Genomic DNA, 24927 nt, shown 5'->3' with positions numbered 1-24927 from the left:
TTTAAAGAACTGATTTCCTTAACCCCATTTACAAACCTAAGTAAGGATTTTCTTTTTTTTTTTTTTTCTTTTTTTTTTTTTGAGACGGAATCTTGCTCTGTCACCCAGGCTGGAGTGCAGTGGCCCAATCTCAGCTCTCTGCAACCTCTGCCTCCCAGGTTCATGCCATTCTTCTGCCTCAGCCTCCCGAGTAGCTGGGACTACAGGCGCCCGCCACCACACCCAGCTAATTTTTTGTATTTTTAGTAGAGACGGGGTTTCACCATGTTAGCTAGGATGGTCTCGATCACCTGACCTTGTGATCCGCCCGCCTCAGCCTCCCAGAGTGCTGGGATTACAGGCATGAGCCACCGCGCCCGGCCTAATTAAGGATTTTCAAACATTTTAAACTTTATTTACAAATTCAGTATATTTGATTATCTCAAACACTGAACTGGCAGCCTTACAAATCTAGCCAGCCAAATCTTGCACAGCACTGGTAACCTATTTATCAGGCCAAAATGGTGTAGATGGAGTAAATGGAATTCCTTTAGGCGTTTCTTATATGCTAAAGTATAAGAAATCAAATTTGTATGCATTTCAAATAAAAATTATGGCCAGGCATGGTGGCTCGTGCCTGGAATCCCAACACTTCGGGAGGCTGAGGCGAGAGGATCACTTGAGTCCAGGAGTGTAAGACCAGCCTGGGCAACATAGTGAGACCTCATCGTACAAAAGACTTAAAAATTAGCAAGGCATAGTGGAACCTGCCTATAGCCTCAGCTACTCAGGAGGCTGAGGTGGGAGGATCACTTGAGCCCAGGAGTTCAAGGCTGCACTGAGCTGTGATCATGCCATTACACTCCAGCCTGGGTGACAGAGCAAGACCCTGTCTCAGAAAAAAAAAAAAGAAAAAAAAAATATATATATATATATGTGTGTGTGTATATATATATCAATTAAATAGTTAAAGTCAGAGGTCTAAAATAGCAGTTTCCAAAATGCTAGTTTCTCAATCTTTTTTCTTCGTTGTCCCTAAGCATAAAAATCAATTAATTAGATAATTTTCCATTTAAATTGGATCCAATGTTTCCCTAATGAGATAAATTAAATACTAAGGAATACAATTTTGTCAGGTAGAGGTGACCTTTGGAAGGCCATAAACCATTGTAATAACTAAGATTTTTTTTTCACTTTTCAAGAAACAATTTTTGCCCCTCTTAATTAAAAATATATGCCTGGCCAGGCATGGTTGCTCCTACCTGTAATCCCAGAACTTTGGGAGGCCGAGGCAGGAGGACCACTTGAGCCCATGAGTTCAAGACCAGCCTGGACAACAAAGTCTACAAAAAAAAAATTTTAAATTAGCCAGGCATAGTGGTGCATGCCTGTAGTCCTAGCCACTTGGGAGTCTGAGGCAGAAGAATCACTTGAATCCAGGGGGTTGGCGCTACAGTGAGCAGTGTTCACCGTGCCACTGCACTCCAGCCTGGGTAATCAAGCAAGACCGTCTCAAAAAAAAAAAAAAAAAAAAAAGAAGTATGCCTTAGATGTTTCAAGGCTTTTTTTTGGTTTTTTTTTTTTTTTTTTTGAGATAGAGTCTCACTCCTATTGCCTAGGCTGGAGTGCAGTGGCAAAATCATAGCTCACTGCAGCCTCAACTTCCTGGGCTCAGGTGATTCTCTCACTCAGCCTCCCAAGTAGCTGGGACTACAGGCAAGTACCACCACGCACAACAAGTTTTTTACATTTTTAGTAGAGACAGGGTTTTGCCATGTTGCCAGGCTGGTCTCGAACTCCTAGGCTCAAGTGATCTGCCTACCTCTGCCACCCAAAATGCTGGGATTGCAGGCATGAGCCACCGGGCCCAGCCAGTGTTTCTTATTAATTTTTTATTGATTTTCTGTTTTTTTGTAGAGGCGTGGTCTCACTTTGGTTCCCAGGTTGGTCTCGAATTCCTGGCCTCAAGCAATCCTCCTGCTTTGGCTTCCCAAAGTGCTAGGATTACAGGCATGAGCCACTGTGCCCAGCCTCAAGCATCTTTTTAGAAACCTTTGCCCATTATCATGATGTTCACAAACTTGTTCCTAAACTTAGCACTGTTGGTTTGACTTACCTGTTCTTATTTCTAAGCCTTCCCAAGGTTGCAGAGTCACCCTCCAAACTCCAGAAAGGAGCTTTCTCATCTCAAGCCATCAGGGGTTGGGGGACATGGGGAGGGAAGGCTCAGATGAGTGGTCATTCGGTTTAGCCAGTGGAGCTGTGAGTTCTGTGCTTGGAACCATCCTTTTTGTATTTGAATCCTAACTCTGTCCCTTGCTACCCATGTGACTTGGGGCATGTTGTTGAACCTCTCTGTGCTTCATTTTCCCCATCTGTAAAGTGTAGACAGCAGTAGTGACTGTCTGATAGTGTTGCTATGAGGGTTGAATGAGATGATGCCCATGAAGCACTCACAACAGGATCCGGAACATGTGGGTGACCAATATCATTATCAGTTAAATTAGGTTCATCAAAGGATCACTCGTATAGGTTTTTAGAAGACCTGTTTTAATTAAGATATGAATTCTATAATTCATGTCTATACATGGATCCTCATGAAGTGGGTAAAAGCAGTTTCTTTTAATTGTTTAAATACTTGTTTTATCATCTTACCTATATTGTAGTATCTGTTAATGATAAAATAGTGCTAAACAAGGTAAACATTAATGTAGCTCCTCACTAATTTGTCAAAAATTCTGATTTACTGGAATCCATTTTGAGATTGATTGTGGACGAAGTGTAGTGGTTCACACTTCTAATCCCAGCACTTTGGGAAGCCACGGTGAGAGGATTGCTTGAATCCAGGAGTTGGAGGCTGCAGTGAGCCATGATCATGCCACACTACCCTCCAGCCTAGGTGACAGAGTCAGACCATCTCAAAAAACAAAGAAAAGGGCCAGGAGCGGTGGCTCACGCCTGTAATCCAGCACTTTGTGAGGCCAAGGCAAGTGGATTCCTTGAGCTCAGGAGTTCAAGACTAGCAACATAACAAGACCCCATCTCTACAAAAAATACAAAAATTAGCCAGGCGTGGTGGCACACACCTGTAGTCCCAGCTATTTGGGAGGCTGAGGTGGTGGGATCACTTGAGCCCAGGAGGTGGAGTTTGCAGTGAACCGAGATGGAGCCACTGCATTGCAGCCTGGGTAATAGAGCAAGACTCTCTCAAAAAAAAAAAAAAAAAAAAAAGAAAGAAATGGATTGCTCGTGAATTAAAAGTAGTCCTGAGTAGAAAGCTTTTCCCCAAATAAAGTTCACAATGACAGAGATGGTTTAATGGACAAATGAGGACTAGTTATTTCATTTTGTAATGCAAGTCTCATAGCTAGTTTTTGTTGTTGTTGTTGTTTTGAGATGGAGTCTTGCTCTGTTGCCCAGGCTGGAGTGCAGTGACACGATCTCAGCTCACTGCAAGCTCCGCCTCCCAGGTTCGCCATTCTCCTGCCTCAGCCTCCCAAGTAGCTGGGATTACAGGCGCCCGCCACCACGCCTGGCTAATTTTTTGTATTTTTAGTAAAGGCAAGGTTTCACCGTGTTAGCCAGGATGGTACTGATCTCCCGACCTCGTGATCTGCCTGCCTCGGCCTCCCAGAGTGCTGGGATTACAGGCATGAGCCACTGCGCCTGGCCATACGTAGTTTTACGAAAATATTAATGTGCATGCTTTTCTCTGTAGTCTTCCTTTTTTCATCAACATGGGTGTTCCACCAATGACACCAATGCCAAGTACAACAGTCGTGCTGCTCAGCTCTATAGGGAGAAAATCAAATCGCTCGCCTCTCAAGCAACACGGAAGCATGGCACTGATGTAAGTCACTGGAGGCTGGATTGTTTCCTTTAGATACATGTTCACTTCATAGAAAAAGTGATTTTTATCCTGAATAGTAAAACTTTTCTACCTGAGTTGTCTTACAAGGAATTAGTGTACAGTAGATTCTTACTATTGAAGTAGTTATGTTCTGTAAATTCATCATGAGTACTGGATTAGTGAATACTAAAACATTGCTCCTAGGAGAAATACAGGATTAGGTTCCTATAAGCTCTGGTCTCATTTTCATCAACTGATCAATACATAACCTTATTTAACATGTGTTTCTATTTAAAGACACCTTTTTAAATATATATTGATGGCTCATGAATATTGAACTCACAGCCAAGGACTATAACTCAGCCCTGAATGAAGCTTATTTAATGCCTGAATTTTCTCCATGAGGCACATCACAGCCTTCATGTGCTTCAGAACATTAGATAGCCCTTCAGTACTGCACTTGAGAGGCATCTTAAAAAATGACATCCTCAATAAAAAGCATGGGAATATGAAGAACATAGCACAAAATAAACTGCAGAAAGGACATTTGTTATGAGAACTGAAACAAGAAGGCAGAGTAGTGTGTCTTGTTCTACCTCAGCTGAGAATGTGCTTCTTGGGCAACTCATTTTTTGCTGCACTATTCTCCAAATGACTGAAAACACCACGAGGACTAATTTTGGGTTAAACGTAAATTTTAGCAAGTAGGTAGATTCATAAATATGGAATCCATGAATAACAAGGATTGATTATCATTTGGAACCTGCATTTAGATATGAAGTCTTTGATCTTTCCTTTTCAGAAATGGTTTATGTGTTTGAGGTCCTTGACTTCCTCAAGGTTTGGAAGCAAAATTTACTGGATGATAGATTACTAAAGTGCACGCAGAGGTCCTCTGTAGGGATGTTACTGATTTTATAAGAATGGAAAGCACCAATCTTTAGGAAACAGGTCTCTAAGGGAAGTGAAAGGTATCAAATAAAATCCTTTACAGGCCGGATGAAATGCTCAGCCCTGTGTTGTTTTTTTGTTCTAGCTGTGGCTTGATAGTTGTGTGGTTCCACCTTTGTCCCCTCCACCAAAGGAGGAAGATTTTTTTGCCTCTCACGTTTCTCCTGAGGTATGTATTATGCTTCACATCATTTTAAAGTGTGCTTACTCTGACAGTTAACAAAAGGTGCATATTTAAAATGTTAGGATGTAGGCTAAGCTCTTGTAACAAGAAGTGCTGAAACATAACTACTGAAGAGAGAAATGACATTATCAACAATTCCAAGGTTAGGATATCTGCTATTGACTGATGGACTTACTTTGCTGTTCTCAACATGTGGCTTCCATCTCAGGGTCTAAAGCAGCTGCTCCAGTTTAAGACTCTCCCAGATTAAGAGAAAAAGACAAGCATCCTTGAGAGCTAATGCCCTATTCTTCTATTTATTTATTTTTGGGGGGACTGAATCTGGCTCTGTTTCCCAGGCTGGAGTGCAGTGGCACGATCTCAGCTCATTACAACCTCTGCCCCCTGGGTTCAAGTGATTCTCCAGCCTCAGCCTCCCGAGTAGCTGGGACTACAGGTGCGCACCAACACACCCAGCTAATATTTTTTTTGAGATGGAGTTTCGCTCTTGTCACCTAGGGTGGAGTGCAATGGTGTGATCTTGGCTCACTGCAATCTCCGCCTCCTGGGTTCAAGCGATTCTCTTGCCTCAGCCTCCCGAGTAGCTGGGACAACAGGTGCACGCCACCACACCTGGCTAATTTTTGTATTTGTAGTAGAGACGAGGTTTCACCATATTGGCTAGGCTGGTCTCGAACTCCTGACCTCAGGTGATACCCCCGCCTTGGCCACCCAAAGTTCTGGGATTATAGGTGTGAGCCACCATACCCCACCACAGATGCCCTATTCTTTTACAGAAAAAGTCTGGAGGGAGCTCCCATCCCTTCTACTTATGTCCTATGAGCTGGAATTTAGTTGCATGTCTTATCTAGCTGCTAGGGAGAACTGAGAATTTATTACTAGTAGTGTGCCACAGTTCAGTTCAGAGCTCTGAAACTGACTAAAAATGAAAACATTTTTAATAGGGGTTTCATTCTCAGTGCCCCAGTTTTGCTGTTTATGTAGTATTATCTCAAAGCTATTGGATGAGTTAATGCAGGTAAAAGTACTTAGTACCTGGCACAAAGTAAGCCTTCAGTAAGTGCTCTAAATATCACTATCTTCATCTTTGTGACCTGATAGCAACAGTGACAGCAATCCATAGTACTTCTGTGGCCTCTCCTCAGATCACTTAGATCTAGGGAAAGTAAAGCCTAAAAGGCGACAATATTTACTATTTGGCCCTTTCTTTTCTTTCTTCCTTTCTTTTTTTTTTTTTTTAAAGACGGAGTTTTCCCTCTTGTTTCCCAGGCTGTAGCGCAATGGCGCGATCTCGGCTCACTGCAACATCCACCTCCCGGGTTCAAGCGATTCTCCTGCCTCAGCCTCCCAACTAGCTGGGATTATAGGCATGTGCCACCACACCTGGCTAATTTTGTATTTTTAGTGGAGACGGGGTTTCGCCATGTTGGTCAGGCTTGTCTCAAACTCCTGACCTCAGGTGATCCACCTGCTTCGGCCTCCTAAAGTGCTGGGATTATAGGCATGAGCCACCACACCGGGCCTACTATTTAGCCCTTTAAGGTAACGTGTGCCTACCTCTGTCTTGGACCATCATATGTTCTGCCAGCTACTCTAGCTCCTCCCAGTCCCACTGGGTAAGGAGCACGATTTGTTGAACTCTTGCTCAATCTATTCTTTAATTTTCTTTTTTTCTTTCGTTTTTTTTTTTTTTGAGATGGAGTCTTACTCTTCTGTCACCCACGTTGGAGTGCACTGGCACAATCTTGGCTCACTGCAGCCTCTGCCTCCCAGGTTCAGGTGATTCTCCTGCCTCAGCCTCCCAAGTAGTTGGGATTACAGGCCCACACCACCACGCCTGGCTAATTTTTTTTGTAATTTTAGTAGAGACAGGGTTTCACCATATTGGCCAGTCTGGTCTCGAACTCCTGACCTCAGGTGATCTGCCTGCCGCAGCCTCCCAAAATGCTGGGATTACAGATGTGAGCCACTGTGCCCAGCTTATTCCTTAATTTTCAATTTAAAACTATGTAAAGTTGTACACAGGTTGTTAAAGCTTGTTTTTTGGGTTTTTTTTTTTTTTTTGCTATTATAATTTGCACATACTTATTAGCATTGTCACAGTCAATAGTTACCAAAAATGGTTATCAAGAAAGAGGAGAACAGGCCAGGCATGTTGGCTCATGCCTGTAATCTCAGCAGTTTGGGAGGCCGAGGTGGGAGGATAGCTTGAGCCCAGGCGTTTGAGACGAGCCTGGGCAGCATAGTGAGACTCCTTCTCTACAAAAAATTTAAACTTTAGCTGGGCGTGGTGGCACATGCCTGCAATCTCAGCTACTCAGGAGGCTGAGGTGGAAGCACTGCTTGAGCCTGGGAGGTCAAGGCTCCAGTGAGCTGTGATTGTGCTTCTGCACTCTAGCCTGGGCAACAGAGCAAGACCCTGTTTCTAAAAAAAAAAGAAAGCAAGAAAAAAGTAGATATGCCTTCCTTTCCATTAACAGGGACTCAGAATGTGGCTGTTTAAATTGTTAGGTTTTTCCCGTGCTTTGATGTGTTTTTTATGGCTGTTTTCTTGCTTTGTCTGCTAATGACTTTTCTCGCCTTGTTTCAGGTGAGTGACACAGCGTGGGCATCAGCAATAGCAGAACCATCTTCTTTAACATCAAGGCCTGTGGAAACCACTTTGGAAAATAATGAAGGTGGAGTCCTTAGAACTGTCATGTAATACTATTCTATGGTTCAGTGGCATGCTATGAAACTATTAAAAATTAAGATGGGCCAGGCACAGTGGCTCATGCCTGTAATCCCAGCACTTTGCGAGGCTGAGGCGGGGGGATCGCCTGAGCCCAGCAGTCAGAGACCAGCGTGGGCAACATAGTCCCCATCTCTATCAAAAAAAAAAAAAACTGAAACCTAAAAATATTAAAATGTAGACCCTTCTGTCTTTTTTTTTTTTTTTTTGAGACTAAGTCTTGCTCTGTAGCCGAGGCTGGAGTGCGATGGTGTGATCTCGGCTCACTGCAACCTCCGCCTCCTGGGTTCAAGCAATTCTCCTGCCTCAGCCTCCCTAGAAGCTGGGATTACAGACATGCACCGCACATCTGGCTAATTTTTGCAACATGATTTCACCATGTTGGCCATGCTGATCTCGAACTCCTGACCTCAGGTGATCCACCCGCCTTGGCCTCCCAAAGTGCTGGGATTACAGGCGTGAGCCACCACACCTGGCCGACCCTTCTGTCTTAACAGGAAGAAATATTCATAATAGACTATAAAGTGGGGGAAAAATATTACTGAACATGGAATATAATAATCATTTTTGTAAAAAAAGAAAAACATACCAAAAACGTTCTGGAAAGCACATAGCAAATTGTTAAATAGAGAGTGAAATTACTGAGGATTTTTAGTTCTCACTTGATATAGTGTTGAAGTGTCTGAACTTTTATAATGAGTATGGGTTACTTTTATCATCAAAAACAAAATTTCAATTTAAAAACTTATAAAAATAGTTGATACATAATGATTCACATTTGGTGACTTTCTTACAGGATTACATTTATTGTAAATATATCAGTTGCTTACATATTAAAAATCACTTGTGACATGAGTAGTCAGCTCTTTCTGTTTTAAAGTTGTGCATCCTTTGTTAGGCCAGAATGTTAGTGTAAATTAACAACAAAAATGTAACTTTGGACAACTAAGCAGTGAGTTCATGGGTTATGATACCTTAAGAAGTGCTGGCTTATATAAACTGAGCCTTGAACTACTCTAAGGAACATAGCGTAACAGGAAAGATGAAGCAGTCACCAACCGCGGGTTGGGTGATGGTATTGAGAAAATTTCTGGCAAGGATTTTGCTGGAGGGTAGGAGAGTAAGTGGTATTTATCAAGAAAGTAGTCCTAGGAGAGAGAGGCACTCAGCTGTGTCCCAGAGTGGAGTCATGTTGTAATGAAAAGGAGTCGCATAGCCAGGCAGGTTGTGCACGCCTGTGATCCCAGCTACTAGGGAGACTGAGGCAGGCAGATCTCTTAAGCCTATGAGTTTGAGACTGCAGTGAGCTATGATTGCACCACTGCACTCTCCAGCGTGGGTGACAGAGACCCGGACTCTAAAAAAAATAAGAAGAAAAAGAAAAGGAGTCGCTTCCTTTGTATTGAGTTATAGGTATAAGGGTGGGAATGTCTGAGATTTCCATCAAACAGTAGAATGCTGATTTTTCATTTTGCTGGTATAGGCGTAGACATATCAGTGAATCAGGATAAGAACATTGCATATCCTAGGTAACAATGGGTTATTTGATGAATGGAATTTGGACAAGTGTCTGGCATTTTAGAAACAAATAATAAAACAAAGTAGAATTTCTTCTTTACTCTTTACACAAGGCTAAATTCAGGTAGTTCAAAGATTTACATGAAAATATGATTATCCTAGAAGAAAACATGGGTAAAGCCTTTTTTATTATCCTGAATTGAGGAAGCCCTTCTAGGCATATTCAAATCTCATAAAAGGAAAAGGTTAATAAATCTGATGACATAAAAATAGAACATTTCTGTTTTGAAAAAATACTTTAAAGTGAAGACAAATGATAAACTTATATTTGCAATTCATATGTAGACAAAAACGGCTTGTTTCCTTACTATGCAAAGAACTCTGATGTGGTTGTTTTGTGGATGATTTGCACCCTGTGATTTTTTTTTTCCACATTCTTTTTTTAGGCATATGACCGTAGATGCCTGCAAAGAAGACATTTATACACCTCTAACTGGAGTTTAGTTTTTTGATTTCTTAGCCTTACACTATACTGCAGCCACATTTGCCCTTGGGTGTTTTTCTGCCTGTGTTTGCTTTTTGTTTTGCTTGGAGTGTGGCTCTGCCTTGATTGGCATGGGTTGCCTCTTTGTTGGGGTTCAGCTTTAAGACCAGCCAACGAGCACTCCCAGTCACAACTGCATTTGTACATTTTTTCTTCCTCATAGCATAGCAAACACCAGTTCTGGAAATTACTGCGTTTCTTAGTTTGCATGTCCACTGTGTGTCCCCTCTGCTGAGCTGTGAGCTCTTCCAGAGAGAGATTGTTTTTTAAGATGAGAAATCTACCTGAGCCATTGATTGATTTACCGTTATCAATCAGAGAGAAGAGAAGAAAGAATTCCCACAATCTCCTAACAAACAGGAACAGTGCGTTATATATCTTTTGTGAAAGTACAGATGATAATTTAACTATTTTCACTATTATAATTTATTAGCATAAAAGGGCTTTGAGGCCAGGCACAGTGGCTCACGCCTATAATCCCAACACTTTGGATGGCTGAGGCGGGTGGATCACTAGAGGCCAGGGGTTCAAGGCCAGCCTGGCCAACATTGCAGGACCCTATCTCTACTAAAAATACAAAAATTAGCCAGGCATGGTGGTGCATGCCTGTAATCCCAGCTGCTCAGAAGGCTGAGGCAGGAGAATCCCTTGAACCTGGGAGGCGGAGGTTGCAGTGAGCCGAGTTCGCACCACTACACTCCGCCTGGGCAACAGAACAGGACTCTGTCTCAGAAAAAAAAAAAAAAAAAAAAGGCCGGGGGCTTTGAGATTGAGGGTTAGCCACAGGAGATATGTGTAACCTCTGAAGTCCGGATGTCACAGTTTGTTTTAACAGAAACCCCAGTAACTAACACAGAACAAGAATTTTTTTTTTTTTGAGACAGAGTTTCACTCTTGTTGCCCAGGCTGGAGTGCAATGGTGTGATCTCAGGTCACCACAACCTCTGCATCCCGGGTTCAAGCGATTCTCCTGTCTCAGCCTCCCAAGTAGCTGGGATTACAGGCATGTGCCACCACTCCTGGCTAATTTTTATATTTTTAGTAGAGACGGGTTTCACCATGTTGGCCAGGCTGGTCTTGAACTCTTGACCTCATGATGCGTCCCCCTTGGCCTCCCAAAGTGCCGGGATTACAGGTGTGAGCTACCGCGCCTGGCCCTCATCTTTGTATTTTTTAGTAGATACAGGGTTTCACCATGTTGGCCAGGCTGATCTTGAACTCTTGACCTCATGATGCGTCCCCCTTGGCCTCCCGAAGTGCTGGGATTACAGGCGTGAGCCACCACACCTGGCCCTCATCTTTGTATTTTTTAGTAGATATGGGGTTTCACCATGTTGGTCAGGCTGGTCTCAAACTCCTGACCTCAAGTGATCTGCCCGCCTCGACCTCCCAAAGTGCTGGGATTACAGGCATAAGCCACCACAAGCCCAGCCTACACTTTATCTATTTTTAAAGTAATAAATAAAATAAAATTAAAATAACAAAGTATGGTTGGGCGCGGTAGCTCACGCCTGTAATACCAACACTTTGGGAGGCCAAGGTGGGAGGTCTCGAACTCCTGAGCTCACGCAGTGTGCCCAACTTGGCCTCCGAAAGTTCTGGGATTACAGGTGTGAGCCACTGTGCCAGGCTTTTAATGAAGGCTTCATAGAGTTGCTAACCAGGATCACTTTTTAGGTAAAATAGAATAAACAAGGCAGATTTCTTGGCAACTGAAAATTTAGATTTCTATCACTGATGTAATTGGTATTAGAATTTCCACATATTAGGCCGGGTTCAGTGGCTCACGCCTGTAATCCTGGCACTTCGGGAGGCCAAGGCGGGTGGACCACCTGAGGTCAGGAATTTGAGACCAGCCTGACCAACATGGAGAAACCCCATCTCTACTAAAAATACAAAATTAGCCGGGCATGGTGGCGCATGCCTGTAATCCCAGCTACTCGGGTGGCCGAGGCAGGATAATGGCTTGAACCCGGGAGGCGAAGGTTGCAGTGAGCCGAGATCGTGCCATTGCACTCCAGCTTGGGTAAGAAGAGTGAAATTCTGTCTCCAAAAGAAAAAAAAACAAAACAAAACAAGGATTTCCACATATTAACATACATTGGGTATGTATAGTCCACAGAGGTAGTAAGTATCTTTTGACAGGTCACATTAAATCACCAGATCATAAGGTAGAATTTTGAATCGTATTAGTTGAAGAGACCACTAACATTTTTATTTGATAAAGCCATTGGATTAAAAATAAACTTCTACTTTAATGGACTTTTAAGTCAAAATTCTTATAACGTTAAAATAGAATATACAGCTAAAAAGGTAGGTGATCATTGACAAAATTGGATAAGATGTAGCACTGAGCAAGTTGAATTATTATATATTCAAAAGCAAGTTAGCTGAGTATATTTTCTGCGCTAATATCAATGTTTTGAATTTTCAGGTGGACAAGAGCAAGGACCAAGTGTGGAAGGTCTTAATGTACCAACAAAGGCTACTTTAGGTAATATGCTTAAAATCCTACATTCTGATTTAAAGTGTATGACTCATTAAGAAAAAAATAAATCCTCTTGCATTTGGCCTGGGCATCTCACCTGACGGAGTAATATAATCATGACCGAATCTGTTAATAAGATTTTATTAAACAAAAGATACTATATATATATGTTTTTTATTCATCTCTCAAGCTTCCAACAAAGATGCTACATTTTAACCAGCTTGATAATATAAAATGCAGCATTGTGGCTGGGGGCAGTGGCTCACACCTGTAATCCTAACGCTTTATGAAGCCGAGGTGGTCAGATCGCTTGAGCCCAGGAGTTCGAGACCAGCTTGGGCAACACAGCGAAACCTTAGCTCTACAAAACAACAACAACAACAACAACAACAACAAAAATTACCTGAGTGTGGTGGCACACATCTGTAGTCCCAGCTACTTGGGAGACTGAGGCAGGAGGATCACTTGAGCCTGGGAGGTTGAGGCTGCAGTGAGCCATGATCACACCACTGCACTCTGCCCTGGGTGACAGAGTGATACCTTGTCTCAAAAAAAAAAAAAAGCAGCAATGTGCACATTTAGCCAATATGGCTGCTGATGGTTTTGATTCGTGGGTTTATGTTGGGCTGGCTCACCTTACGGAAATAAGCAGTGGTCAGAACATCTACACCATTCCTTTTTACTCAAGAACTCATTTTCTTCTCTTTCTGATTTTATTATAGGTGAACTTAATCTTAAATTTTTCATTATCAAGGAATTATAATTTGTAATTGTTATATATTCCATTGCATTAGTTGGAAAGCAGCTGCTTTGGTGAAAAATAACTAAACTGTTAGAAATGCTCCTGACATTTTCATCATGTTTTAGACTCGTCAGAGTTTGGGAGCAGGTTATGTGACTACTACAATACAAATCTGAAAGAAAGTAATGAAAAGGAAAACTCCCACAAGCATCTTTTTCACACTTGAAATGTAATGACGTTATTCTCTACTCACGGCTAAAGATTGTTATCTTTTGCTGTTTCTGGCTTTATGCTATCTTTTCCTATCAAAGCACATTCTTATCTTTATATGAAAAAATTAAGACTTTAATTTTGCTGGGTTTCTTAGACATAATTCTAAAGACAATATATAACCTATAAGTAAAATGTACTCAGAAAATGATTTTTAAGAAACTTTCTCTAAAAGTATTTTTGTGCAATTTAGAAAGTATTGTTATTAAAATAAGAGAATGCTTTATGTTTCTTTTTTTTTTTTTTTTGGAGACAGAGTCTCACTCTGTCACCCAGGCTGGAGTACACTGGCACGATCTCAGCTCACTGCAACCTCTGCCTCCCGGTGCCTCCTGGGTTCAAGCGATTCTCGTGCCTCAGCCTCCCAAGTAGCTGGGATTACAGGTGTGTGCCACCATGCCCAGCAAACTTTTTGTATTTTTAGTGGAGACGGGGTTTCACCATATTGTCCAGGCTGTTCTCAAACTCCTGACCTCAGGTGATCTGCCCGCCTTGGCCTCCCAAAGTGCTGGGATTACAGGCATGAGCCACCATGCCTGGCCGAGGATGCTTTATATTTATTTTGGCTAATATGATAAAATCTATATATAAGCCAAGGTGAAAAAGCACGTCACTGGCTGCTTTAGTTGTATACATAATGCCTAGCTAACTTTATTTTTATTATTGTTATTACTTTTTTGAGCTAGAGTCTCGCTTTATTGCCCATGCTGGAGTGCAGTGGGTGCAATCACAGTTCACTGCAGCCTGGCCCAAGAGATTCTCCTACCTCAGCCTCCCAAGTAGCTGGGACCACAGGCGCACGCCATCACACTGGACTAATGTTTTTTGTTTGTTTGTTTGTGGAGATGGAGTCTCCCTATGTTGTCCAGGCTGCGAACTTTATATTTTCAAATAAGTTTTATGCAGCCGTAAAAAAGAACAGTCATGTCCTTTGCAGCAACATGGCTGGAGGCCATTATCGTAAACAAACTAATGCAGAAACAAAACCAAATATCACATGTTTTCACTTATAAGTGGGGGCTAAATCTTGGGTTCATACGAACATAAAGATGGGAAGAGTAGACACTGAGGACTCCAAAAGGAGGGAGGGAGAGAGGGGAACAAGAGCTGAAACACTTCCTGTTGGATACTGTGCTCACTGTCTGGGTGATGGGATCAAGAGAAGCCCAAACCTCAGCACCACGCAATATACCCTTGTAACAAAACTGCACGTGTACTCCCTGAATCTAAAATAAAAATGGAAAATTATAATGATTTTTAAAGTTTTTGGGCTGGGCATGATAGTTCATACCTGTAATCCCAGCACTTTAGAAAGCCAAGGCAGGAGGATCACTTGAGGCCAGGAGTTCAAGACCAGACTGGGCAACATAGTGAGCTCCCCTGATGTCTACAAAAAAAAAAAAAAGAAAGAAAACCAGGCATGGTGGCATATGCCTGTAGTCCCAGCTACTAGGGAGGCTGAGACGAGAGGATCACTTGAATACAGGAGTTCAATGCTGCAGTGAGCTCTGATCACACTACTACACTCCAGCCTAGGTAATGGAGTGAGACCATCTCTAAAAAATTGTTAGATTTTTAAGTGTTTTAAAGTTTTTGAAGAGTAGCACTTGATAAAAGAGTTGTGGCATGGTGGCTCATACTCATAATTTCAGCACTTTGAGAGGCTGAGGCAGGAGCATCACTTGAGCCCAGGAGTCCAAGACCAGTCTGGGCAACATAGCAAGACACCCATCTCTAAAAAAAAAAAAAAAAAAAAAAAAAAATAGCCAGATGTGGTGGTGCGCACCTGTGATCCCAACTACTCAGGAGGCTGAAGTGGAAGGCTCCCTTGATCTGGGAGGTAATGCCACTGCACTCAGCTAAGGTGACAGAGCGAGACCCTGTCTCAAAAAAAAAAAAAAAGTTGTTGTAATATATTTTTTAAATGCTCCTGAAGAAAGTACTGAGAGGGGCAAGCTCAGGCTCTATTTCTCTTCAGTGTGCTGTTAAAAAAAAAAATACATTTTCTCTGAGTTTGGAGACTGCGTGGAAATACTGAGGACACCATTTTGACAAAGTTCTGTTAATCCAAAATATGCTTATCAACTTGAGTCTTCTGGATGAGAAACTAAAGTGGAAAATGTTATCATCTCTTAAATAATAAAGTGCAGTATCTTAGAATTTTAAAAGACACACTAAAAAAGAAAAATTATTTCTATTGGTCTTACTTTTTAATTTTTATTTTTTGGCAGAGGTATCCTCTATCATAAAAAAGAAACCAAATCAAGCTAAAAAAGGCGTGAGTATTATGTACTTTATATATAAAAATCTGGTAGTTAAGCTTTAAAACTAAAAAGCCGCTTCGTCATTTTAGTTTTATTCTTTTGAACCATCTTGTAATAAATGTAGCTTTGATATAAGGAGTCTATGTTTTGTTCAAAGAGATTAATGTCAAAGAGATTAATGTTATACTTATTGAATTTTTTCTAGAATGATTATTTAACATTTTTTCTGTCTATGACAAAATTCTGAAAAAAATTAACAAAGGTCCCCTGGGAATTTGTCTCCTGCTTGTGTAGATCAATAAGCAATGACATCTTGTGAGGCTTAGAGGGTGGTTGTCTGGTGAGTTTTCAGATACAGCGAAGCATTGCGGAGCACCAGCTCTGGAGGCAGGTGCAGGGTTTGAATCCTGGCCTTGCCATGTATTGGCTGTGTGACCTTGGCCACATTCCTTAACTTATATGAGCTTTACTTTCCTCAGCCCTCTGTATCCAGGGGTTCTGCATCCATGGATTCAACCAATTGCAGATCAAAATTATTTGGGGGGGAAAAAAAAACAATAGGCCAGGCGTAGTGACTCACGCCTGTAATCCCAGCACTTTGGGAGGCCGAGGCAGGTGGATCACTTGAGCCCCGGAGTTCAAGACCAGCCTGGGCAAAATGGTGAAATCCCATCTCTTCAAAAAATACAAAAAGTAGCCGGATTTGGTGGCCCGTGCCTGTAGTCCCAGCTACTCGGGATACTAAGGTGGGAGGATCGCTTTACCCCAGGAGGCAGAGGTTGCAGTGAGCTGAGATTGTGCCACTGTACTCCAGCTTGGTCAACAGCATGAGAGCCTGTCTCAAAAAAAGTAAAAAAAAATAAAAAGTAAGAATACAACAGTAAAAACAATACAAATAAAAACACAGAATTAGTAACTATTTTCATAGCATTTACATTATTTAGGCATAATAAGTAATCTAGAGATGATTGAAAGTATACTGGAGGCTACACGTGGGTTAAATGCAGATACTACGCCCTTTTACGTAAGGGACTTGATCATCGCAGATTTTGTTATCCACAGGGTCGTGAAACCAATTCCCCCATGCTGAGGGACTCCTGGAATAATACTAACTTCACAGAGTTCTGAGGACTAAGCCACAGAACAAATGTAGAGTGCTTGTCACAGTGCCTGGCAGGTCCTAACCCTTAGGAAATGTTAGCTGTAGTCACAGAAGCTTTCAAACAGCTCGTGTAGACTATAGTCTTATATATGTTCTAGCTTGGGGCCAAAAAAGGAAGTTTGGGAGCTCAGAAACTGGCAAACACATGCTTTAATGAAATTGAAAAACAAGCTCAAGCTGCGGATAAAATGAAGGAGCAGGAAGACCTGGCCAAGGTGGTATCTAAAGAAGAATCAATGTAAGTTTAATTTCATTATATTAATACATTTTCAGGGAATAAAACTATTAACTCAAGATTTTGCTTTCCAAATGCCATGTATTTTTGTGTGGGGGGGGAAGGGAGGGTACTGCAAAATTCAGTTTTATGAAAACTGATATTGCATTGGCATGTGGATTGGAAGGGAAAGAGACGATGGGGGCAGCAACACTCTGCTGAGGCTGTAAGGGCAAGACTGGAGTGACATCAGTGAGAAGGGAAAGACAGAGATGCATGGAGGTGTTTACACATGAAACATGCTTCACATTATTAGAGTTGGGGAAATGCAAATCAAGGCCACAATAAGATACCACTGTGTACTCTCTAGGGAAGCTATAATAAAAAAATCAGTAACAGGTGTTGGCTAGGATGTGGAGAAATTTGAACCCTTGTACATTGCTGATGGCAATGTGAAATGGTGCCACTGTTGTGAAAAACAGTTTGGCAGTCCTTCAGAAAGTTAAATGTAAAGTTTCCATGTGACCCAGCAAATCTACTCCTAAGTATATACTCAAGAGAAATTAAAACTTACATCTGTGCAACCACACACAAACTCGTGCATGAATGTTCATAGTGGCGTTAATCCTAATAGCCAAAAAGTAGAAATAAGCTAAATGTCTACCAACTGATAAATGAGAAAGAAAATGTGGTATGTCCATACAATGGACTATTACTCAGCCACAAAAAGGAATGTAGTCCTGATATTGGCCACAACATGGATAAACCTTGAAAAGTTTATGCTAAGAAAGAAGCCAGTCATAAAAGATCACATGATATGATTCTGTCTATATGCAATGTCCAGAATAGGCAAATCCGTAGAGACAGAAAGCAACTTACTGGTTGCCAGGGCCTGGGGTGAGGAGAGAATGGAGAGTGGCTGCTAATGGTCCAGGCCTGCTTTTTGGACTGCTGAAAGTGTTCTGGAGTTAGTGGTGATGATGGCACAGCTTTGTGAATGTGCTGAAACCACTGAATCATGCACTTTAACAGGGTGAGTTTTACGGTATGTGAATTATATCTGCATAATGAAAAAAGTATTTATAATCTGAAGCCCTGTTGGACTCTGTGACTAAATTCTAAATACATGATGGAAGACTATGGCTCTGGTCGTGTCTCCAGAGGTTCTGAGCCTGGATCTTGGAGAGGGAGAAGGAAGAGTTTCAGAGAATGAAGAAGGTGGAATGATCGTGTGTGTCGGGGGCCTGCCTGAAGTGGAGGAGTTGGAACGATAATGTGGAGCACCTTAAAGTCAGGCTGTGGTTGTCCACTTACCCAAGAGAAACAGCTCCTTCAGCAGTGCTGTCATGAAGGGGCGTCTCGGGAGAATGAGTTCGGTAGTGATACCCAGGCCAGGAAGAGGGGAGGAGACTGGAAGCCAGGAGGCCAGTGAAGAGATCGGTTTTCCGTAGACTTTTGTAAGGCTCTTGAGAGGTTTTCATTTGTGTTGAAATCAGAAGAGAAAGATGGCCTTCTGGAAACCGTGACTGTACCAAAGATCAGGAGAGAAGGGCGGAGGGTGCATGCTACACAGAAAGGAAAAGTAACCTGGATCCCTATTTTTTATGTGTGTGTTTTTTAATGGTGTTTTCTCTTACTTTCATGTGTATTTTATCTGTTTTAGCTTGAGTTACTATAGACTGTATGATGAAGAAAATAACACCTATTTTATGAGGTGGTTTTAAGGATTAGTTTAATAGCTTAAATGCTCATTGAAGTGCATCAAACAGTACCTGGCACATAGTAGGTGCTCAGTAAATGCAACTACTTTTCGTACTGTCTTACTGTTCATACTGACGGTTCGCTAAGATGGAGTTTATAAGGTAAACCCAAATAATTTGAAGTTGATAGTTGTTTCTCCTTGTCATTTAATTCACAGAACATAGGGGGCAGCACTGAACTGTATTTAGGTCGAATATGGTTTGAAATGCTTTGTGTACAAAAATTTACGTTGACTTGTCACAGACTTTAATTTCTCTTACTAAGCTAAGTTTTTGACCCTGGCAAAGGGAAAGGTTAGATTTGAGTGTTTCGATGGCTTCTCTTGGTATTTGGGAGTAGGCTCTGTCCAGATTACTCATGCTTGAGGTTTTCCCAGAGCGTGTGTAAAATCGGGCCCTGATCAGCTTCCTTCCTGCAAGTAAGCTGGATGGAGAAGCTGCAGGTAAGCTGGATGGAGTGAAGTCTGGTTGTTACTTCTAATATTAACATGCTAATCTTCCTGAAAACAGGAAGCAACAACCAGACTTCACTTGTATCTTTCATTAGGAGTGTTTAATACATCACAAAAACAAAGATGCAGATCGGAAGATTTATGAATTTGATTTGAGAAGCCAGTTTGGCAACTTTCATGGCCTTGTTCAGAACAACCACACCACTGTGCCTTAATGACCACCACTGCCACTCAAACCCGTAGAAAGTACAGGTGTTTTATCCTTAATACATGAGTGTTATGTTGCAAGTTAGTTTGTTTAATGGCTGTAAATAAAGTTATTTCGGCTCAGTAAACTGTCAGAACAGTGTTGTTCTTGTACTGTCAGAGTGTGAAACTAAACAGCCCATGCAGCATCCTGGTCTCCTTCTAGCAGTTTCCCAGCCCGTCCTCAGAGGCTCTCTGTGTGCCCACTTGGTAGGAAGGAAGGAAGAGGCAGAGCTGCCTTGAGCTGCTCCGCTTGTTTGATCTGTGTCCTGCAGTCCTCCCTTGAGCCAGTACCCGTAAGCACTCCTGAAGTTCTGAGAAACGCGGTGTTCTGACTTCTTAACTGTTGGTGCTTCCAGAGAGATGTTCTCGTAAGCATCAAAGTGCATGCTTTTAGTGAGTGACCCAGTCCATGTCAGATTACCTAGGAAGGAAAACTTTTCCATCTCTTATCTTTCTAATAGAACCTTTTCATCCCCATGCATCTTCTCCAGAAGAATCTGTTGCTGTAATTATATGTATTCATGATTTTAAACAGAGCTATTGTTTTCCTCCAAAAGAAAAAGTAGTATTTATTTGTTAAGGAATAAAATAGCCATAACCTGTTCTGTAGGAAGAGTAAGGAAAACAAACTGCCATGTGAAAACCAAAGAAATCTTGCTTGACTCATTAAAGAAAAGAAACAGCAAAAGCAAGATTACTTTTTCCTAATAAGAAATTCTGCACCGGGCGCGGTGGCTCATGCCTGTAATCCCAGGACTCTTTGAGGCAGAGGCAGGCAGATCGCCTGAGGTCAGGAGTTCGAGACCAGCCTGGCCAACATGGTGAAACCTCGTCTCTACTAAAAATAGAAAAATTAGCTGGATATGGTGGCAGGTGCCTGTAATCCCAGCTACTCGGGAGGCTGAGGCAGGAGAATTGCTTGAACCTCGTGGGTGGAGGTTGCAGTGAGCCAAGATTGCACCACTGCACTCCAGCCTGGGCGACAGAGCAAGACTCCATTTCAAAAAACAGAAAGAAATTCTGTTGTCTTTCCCTATTACTATGCAGAAATTTATTTATATTACTAGGAATTTATACAATGCCTCTTTTGCCAGGAATTCATGGTATTTTACATGTTTTTATAAAGTGGATGATAACTTAGAAATCCTTGTAAGTTAGATAGATCATTTTTCAGGGCCCTGAAATGTTGTGCTGTCTCACTAAAATATGATGCAAACTGCTATTCTTGCTATATAGGCATAGTTTTCTTTATGAAAAATTAAGTCATTATTGCATTTTTAGAAATCTGAGAGCAAGGACAATGTTTTGTACACCTTTTTACCCCTTTGGTGTCCTGCTTGTAGCAGATATTTGATTTTAAATAGAAGAGTGGTATTTGACTGACTAGTAGTGCTAAAGAGTCTATTAGCTGATGAGTCACTATCCCATTTTAAATGCTCTCAGAAGCCTGATTGCATAGAGATGTATCTACAAGAAATTATTTTGTAAATGGAAGGATCCTTTTACAATTAAGTAATAGCCCCTTAGTTGATCTATTTGTAAAGTCAAATTTATATATTTATTTATTTATCTTAAATCAAGATAGACTAGTGAGACTAACCTCATGCTTTGTTATGTAATGTGGAAGTGTAATAAAATATTAATCCAAGTAAGAAATCTTGCTTTTCACTATCCCATATGGAAGTGATTTGGGTATACATTATGTTATTATACAATAATAGGTAACATGAACTAAACTTGAACAGTGGTATAGGTTGAGCAGCAATGAGAAAGTGGCTGTAAGCTCATTCAAATTTTCTTAAACGTCTGTTCAAAAAAGGCAGGTAGAAAAAACACCAACTTGCCTTCATAATTGTTAATTATGGAAAGAATCATGAAGCTAAAAGTATAAATTACATGTTTAATTTTGCTTGCTATTTTAATATAAGAACAAAGGATTAAAGCTAAATTAAGGAGTATTTGGTTTTTCTGGCAGTGTTTCATCATTACGATTAGCCTATAAGGATCTTGAAATTCAAATGAAGAAAGACGAAAAGATGAACATTAGTGGCAAAAAAAATGTTGACTCAGACAGACTCGGCATGGGATTTGGAAATTGCAGAAGGTATGTGAGACTGCTTTCTTGGAGTTAGAATTTAAAACAGTGTGTCAATCATCAGTGGATTTTTCTTGGACTGTGTTAGTTTCAACTTTAGAGATTTTTTTTTGTTATTCATTAACTTCTCTAATTATTTTTGCTTTGCTCTGGTATTCAGTATAACATGAAAAATTTCAAATTTGGCTCTTTAAAAGAAGGAAAAAGGTCTGGCTCTTTACATGAAGCACCTACCAGAGAGGAAACCATGGACATAACCAATATTTGTGACTGCATTTGGTGTAGACACAGTCCTCACAAAATTTTAACATTTTTGAAAGCTTGCACCAGAAAAAAAAATTGTTTTATTGCTTATGTTTTTAACCCCTCGAATACATTTGTCTTTGTTCAAAACATAAATTAAAGCTTTGTTTATTTTGGTGAAACAAAAGTTTGTGAACTTACTGATATATATATTTTTCTGTTTTCTCAAGTGTTATTTCACATTCAGTGACTTCAGATATGCAGACCATAGAGCAGGAATCACCCATTATGGCAAAACCAAGAAAAAAGTATAATGATGACAGTGACGATTCATATTTTACTTCCAGCTCAAGGTACTGTATTACAAATCATCGTTGAAGTGTCATTTTGAAAAGCAGTGACTAGTATGGATTTATTAGTTTATTTGCATTAGGAGAAATTACAAATCAATTTACTTCACTGTTTTTAAAAGCTCTGGCTGGAGCCAGAGCTGTTCTTTGGAGTAAAAATTAGAGAAACGTTTGTAAAAGAACAACGTTGGCTAATATTAAAATGTTTGGCAATAAAATCAGCAACTGTGAGTTAAAATTAGAGGTAGGAGAGATGTGCTTATTTAAATTATGAAATTGGAGAAAACTGCAAAATCCTGAAGGTATGTGTTGTTTAGTCCAGCAGTGGGAATATTTCACAGCTCTTTCTCAGGGCTTCAGCAGATTTCTGTGCTTCAGAATGCCAGCTTCAGAAAACTCCAGTTGGTACAATAGTGCATTAAATAAACTCTATGGGTGTGTGTATTTATTAATGAGGAAGATGATTGTACTTTGAGGGGACCCCAGAGTAAAGCCTAGGTTTCTCTCCTTCAGCACTCACTATCTTATTGAGACAAAATGCATAACTCTAGTGTGAAGCTGACTGTGGAGAGCAGTGCACGGTCAAGTGGCCTGCCAGAGCAAAGAGAACAAGTTTAAACTTGAGTCAGTTCACTTCGTAAGGACCTGCTCGGCCCAGTGAGAGGTCTGCTAAAAAGGCACAAAATGAACCTGTGATTTCACTGGAGAGGGCACAGCTCAGGAACAGAGGGGTAAGAATATGGGCCCAGGGGCCAGATGGCATGGATTTGAATCCTGGCTTTCACTTACTTGTCACCTAGGCCAAGTTATTTAACTTCTTTGTGCTATAGCTTCCTCATCTGTAAATTAGGGACCCTAGTAATACCTACCCAATAGGGTTGTGTGAGGATCGAATGAGATACTGCGAATGCTATAGCACGTTTAGAATGGTGCTTGGCTCTTACTATGTTTAGCTGCTATATGATAATATAGAAACTCAGTTTAAGAGATGTGATTCAGTCTAAATGTTTTTTGTTTGTTTGTTTGTTTATGAGATAGAGTCTCACTCTGTCACCCAGGCTGGAGTACAGTAGCATGATCTCGGCTCACTGCAACCTCCACCTCCCAGGTTCAAGCAATTCTTATGCCTCAGCCTCCTGAGTAGCTGGGACTACAGGCGTGTGCCACCATACCCGGCTAATTTTTTGTATTTTTAATAGAGATGGAGTTTCGCCATGTTGGCCAGGCTGGTCTCAAACCCCTGACTTCAAGTGATCTGCTGGCCTCAGCCTCCCAAAGTGCTGAGATTACAGGCATGAGCCTCCACGCCCAGCCTAAATGTTTGATTACTATTGTTAGGTAGTTAAACTAACCACATTGAGGACCACCTTTGGGTTAGCAGTTCATGAAAACTGAAGGTGTTCCTGTCGGAAATGGGCGGTGCTTACTGGAAGGCTCCATCACTTATGTCTCTGAGGGCATTAGAGTTGTCTGGCAATTTATAGGTTTGAAGCGTTTTCATATGTATAAAAGATATATATGTGTGTGTGTATATATACACACCCACACACATGCACTTCATATATAGAACAGATATAAATATATTACCTAGGATCTAATTGTGAAATTGTATATTTTCCTATCAATGTTTATAGACAAGGAATTGTATAAAGAATACTATCCTTAAAAATGTCTCTAAGTATAGCTCTAAATTATTTCAAGTCCAGGGATTTTACCAAAAAAAAAAAAAAAAGTAGTAGTTTAGTGGTGTTCCATGGTGGTATTTTCAGAGACTTGGGTGGTTTTATATTTTTGCCTATCCTTTGCAGCCTGTATAATGCACCAAGTTTCACTTTACTCAGAAGTGATACCCAAATCATGCCTTTTAAAGGTATGTAAATAGATTTTACACAGAGTAAAATTAAATGTGTAATTTGATTTGGAAACTACATACGTGTCAGATCATTTCAGATGTGAATATTAAATGGTGGACTAAGTCTGGGTCAGAGGAAACTCTTGGCAGTACGGGTCTGTATTAGCCTGTGTGGCTTCTCACAACATCTTTGATTATTTCACTGCTTATTAGCAACTTCTGCAGATGATAGTGTAGGAAGGTAAAGAAAGTTTAGGCTGGGCATGGTGGCTCACACTTATAATCCCAGCACTTTGGGAAGCCAAGGCAGGAGGATCACTCGAGCCCAGGAATTCAGGACCAGACTGGGAAATATAGTGAGACCTCATCTTTACAAAAAATTTCAAAAATATTAGCCTAGCATGGTGGACATGCCTGTAGTCCCAGCTGCTTGGGAGGCTGAGGTGGAGGATCACTTGAGCCTGGGAGGCAGAGGTTACAGTGAGATTAGATTGCACCACTGCACTCCAGCCTGGGCAACAGAGCAAGACCCTCTCTCAAAAAAAAGAGAAAGTTTCAGTTAAATCAGTACTGTTGCTTGGTAGCCGGGTTGGTAAGAAAGCTCTAAGTGAGGTTGCCTAATGGGAACTTCAGAGACCCTCACTGGCTCCAGGTCACTGACAGGCCCCTGTGGGGCCTTTCTGCCTTGTAAAGGCTTCAGGGATCTTTCAGACTTCCCCTTCTTCAAAGGCTTAATCAAAAGAGTTAGACCCAGAAGCCACTGTTGCTATGAAACTGTTACTTATGGTTTGAAACCTGGGAGCAGATGGCATATTTATATAGACCACACCTCCTGGACTCTTTCCAGAGAGACCTTGGTGTATTGTTTATCACGACCTGCAGATTGTCTAATAGGAACATAAATGCCTTCTCTAGTCCTCCTTGGCATGGTGACCACCACTAGTAGAATGAGGATACTATTAGGTACTTTGGCAACTGAGGTAAAATAAACATGGACTCTGAAAGCAAATATATTAGTTCGATGAAGAG

At 41.2% G+C, this 24927-nt stretch overlaps 1 protein-coding gene across 3 annotated transcripts in view; it reads left to right on the top strand.

Moving 5' to 3' along the window:
• The window catches only part of ARFGAP3 (ARF GTPase activating protein 3), a 60772-nt gene that overhangs the window by 18083 nt on the left and 17762 nt on the right, over nt 1–24927 (top strand). For 2 of the 3 annotated variants that reach the window (XM_005261525.5, NM_014570.5), the window contains exons 4-11: nt 3698–3829; nt 4866–4949; nt 7555–7642; nt 12192–12251; nt 15489–15535; nt 16782–16921; nt 21334–21462; nt 21927–22049. In XM_005261525.5, coding sequence (XP_005261582.1) covers nt 3698–3829; nt 4866–4949; nt 7555–7642; nt 12192–12251; nt 15489–15535; nt 16782–16921; nt 21334–21462; nt 21927–22049 — 803 coding nt within the window. The remainder of the gene's footprint in view (nt 1–3697; nt 3830–4865; nt 4950–7554; nt 7643–12191; nt 12252–15488; nt 15536–16781; nt 16922–21333; nt 21463–21926; nt 22050–24927) is intronic. The other variant, NM_001142293.2, reaches the window with a different exon arrangement.

This window comes from Homo sapiens, chromosome 22 (assembly GCF_000001405.40).
Source record: "Homo sapiens chromosome 22, GRCh38.p14 Primary Assembly".
In the NCBI taxonomy this organism is placed as follows: Eukaryota; Metazoa; Chordata; class Mammalia; order Primates; family Hominidae; genus Homo; species Homo sapiens.
Note: the sequence above shows the minus strand (reverse complement) of the source record. Positions and strands in the feature narration are given on the sequence as shown.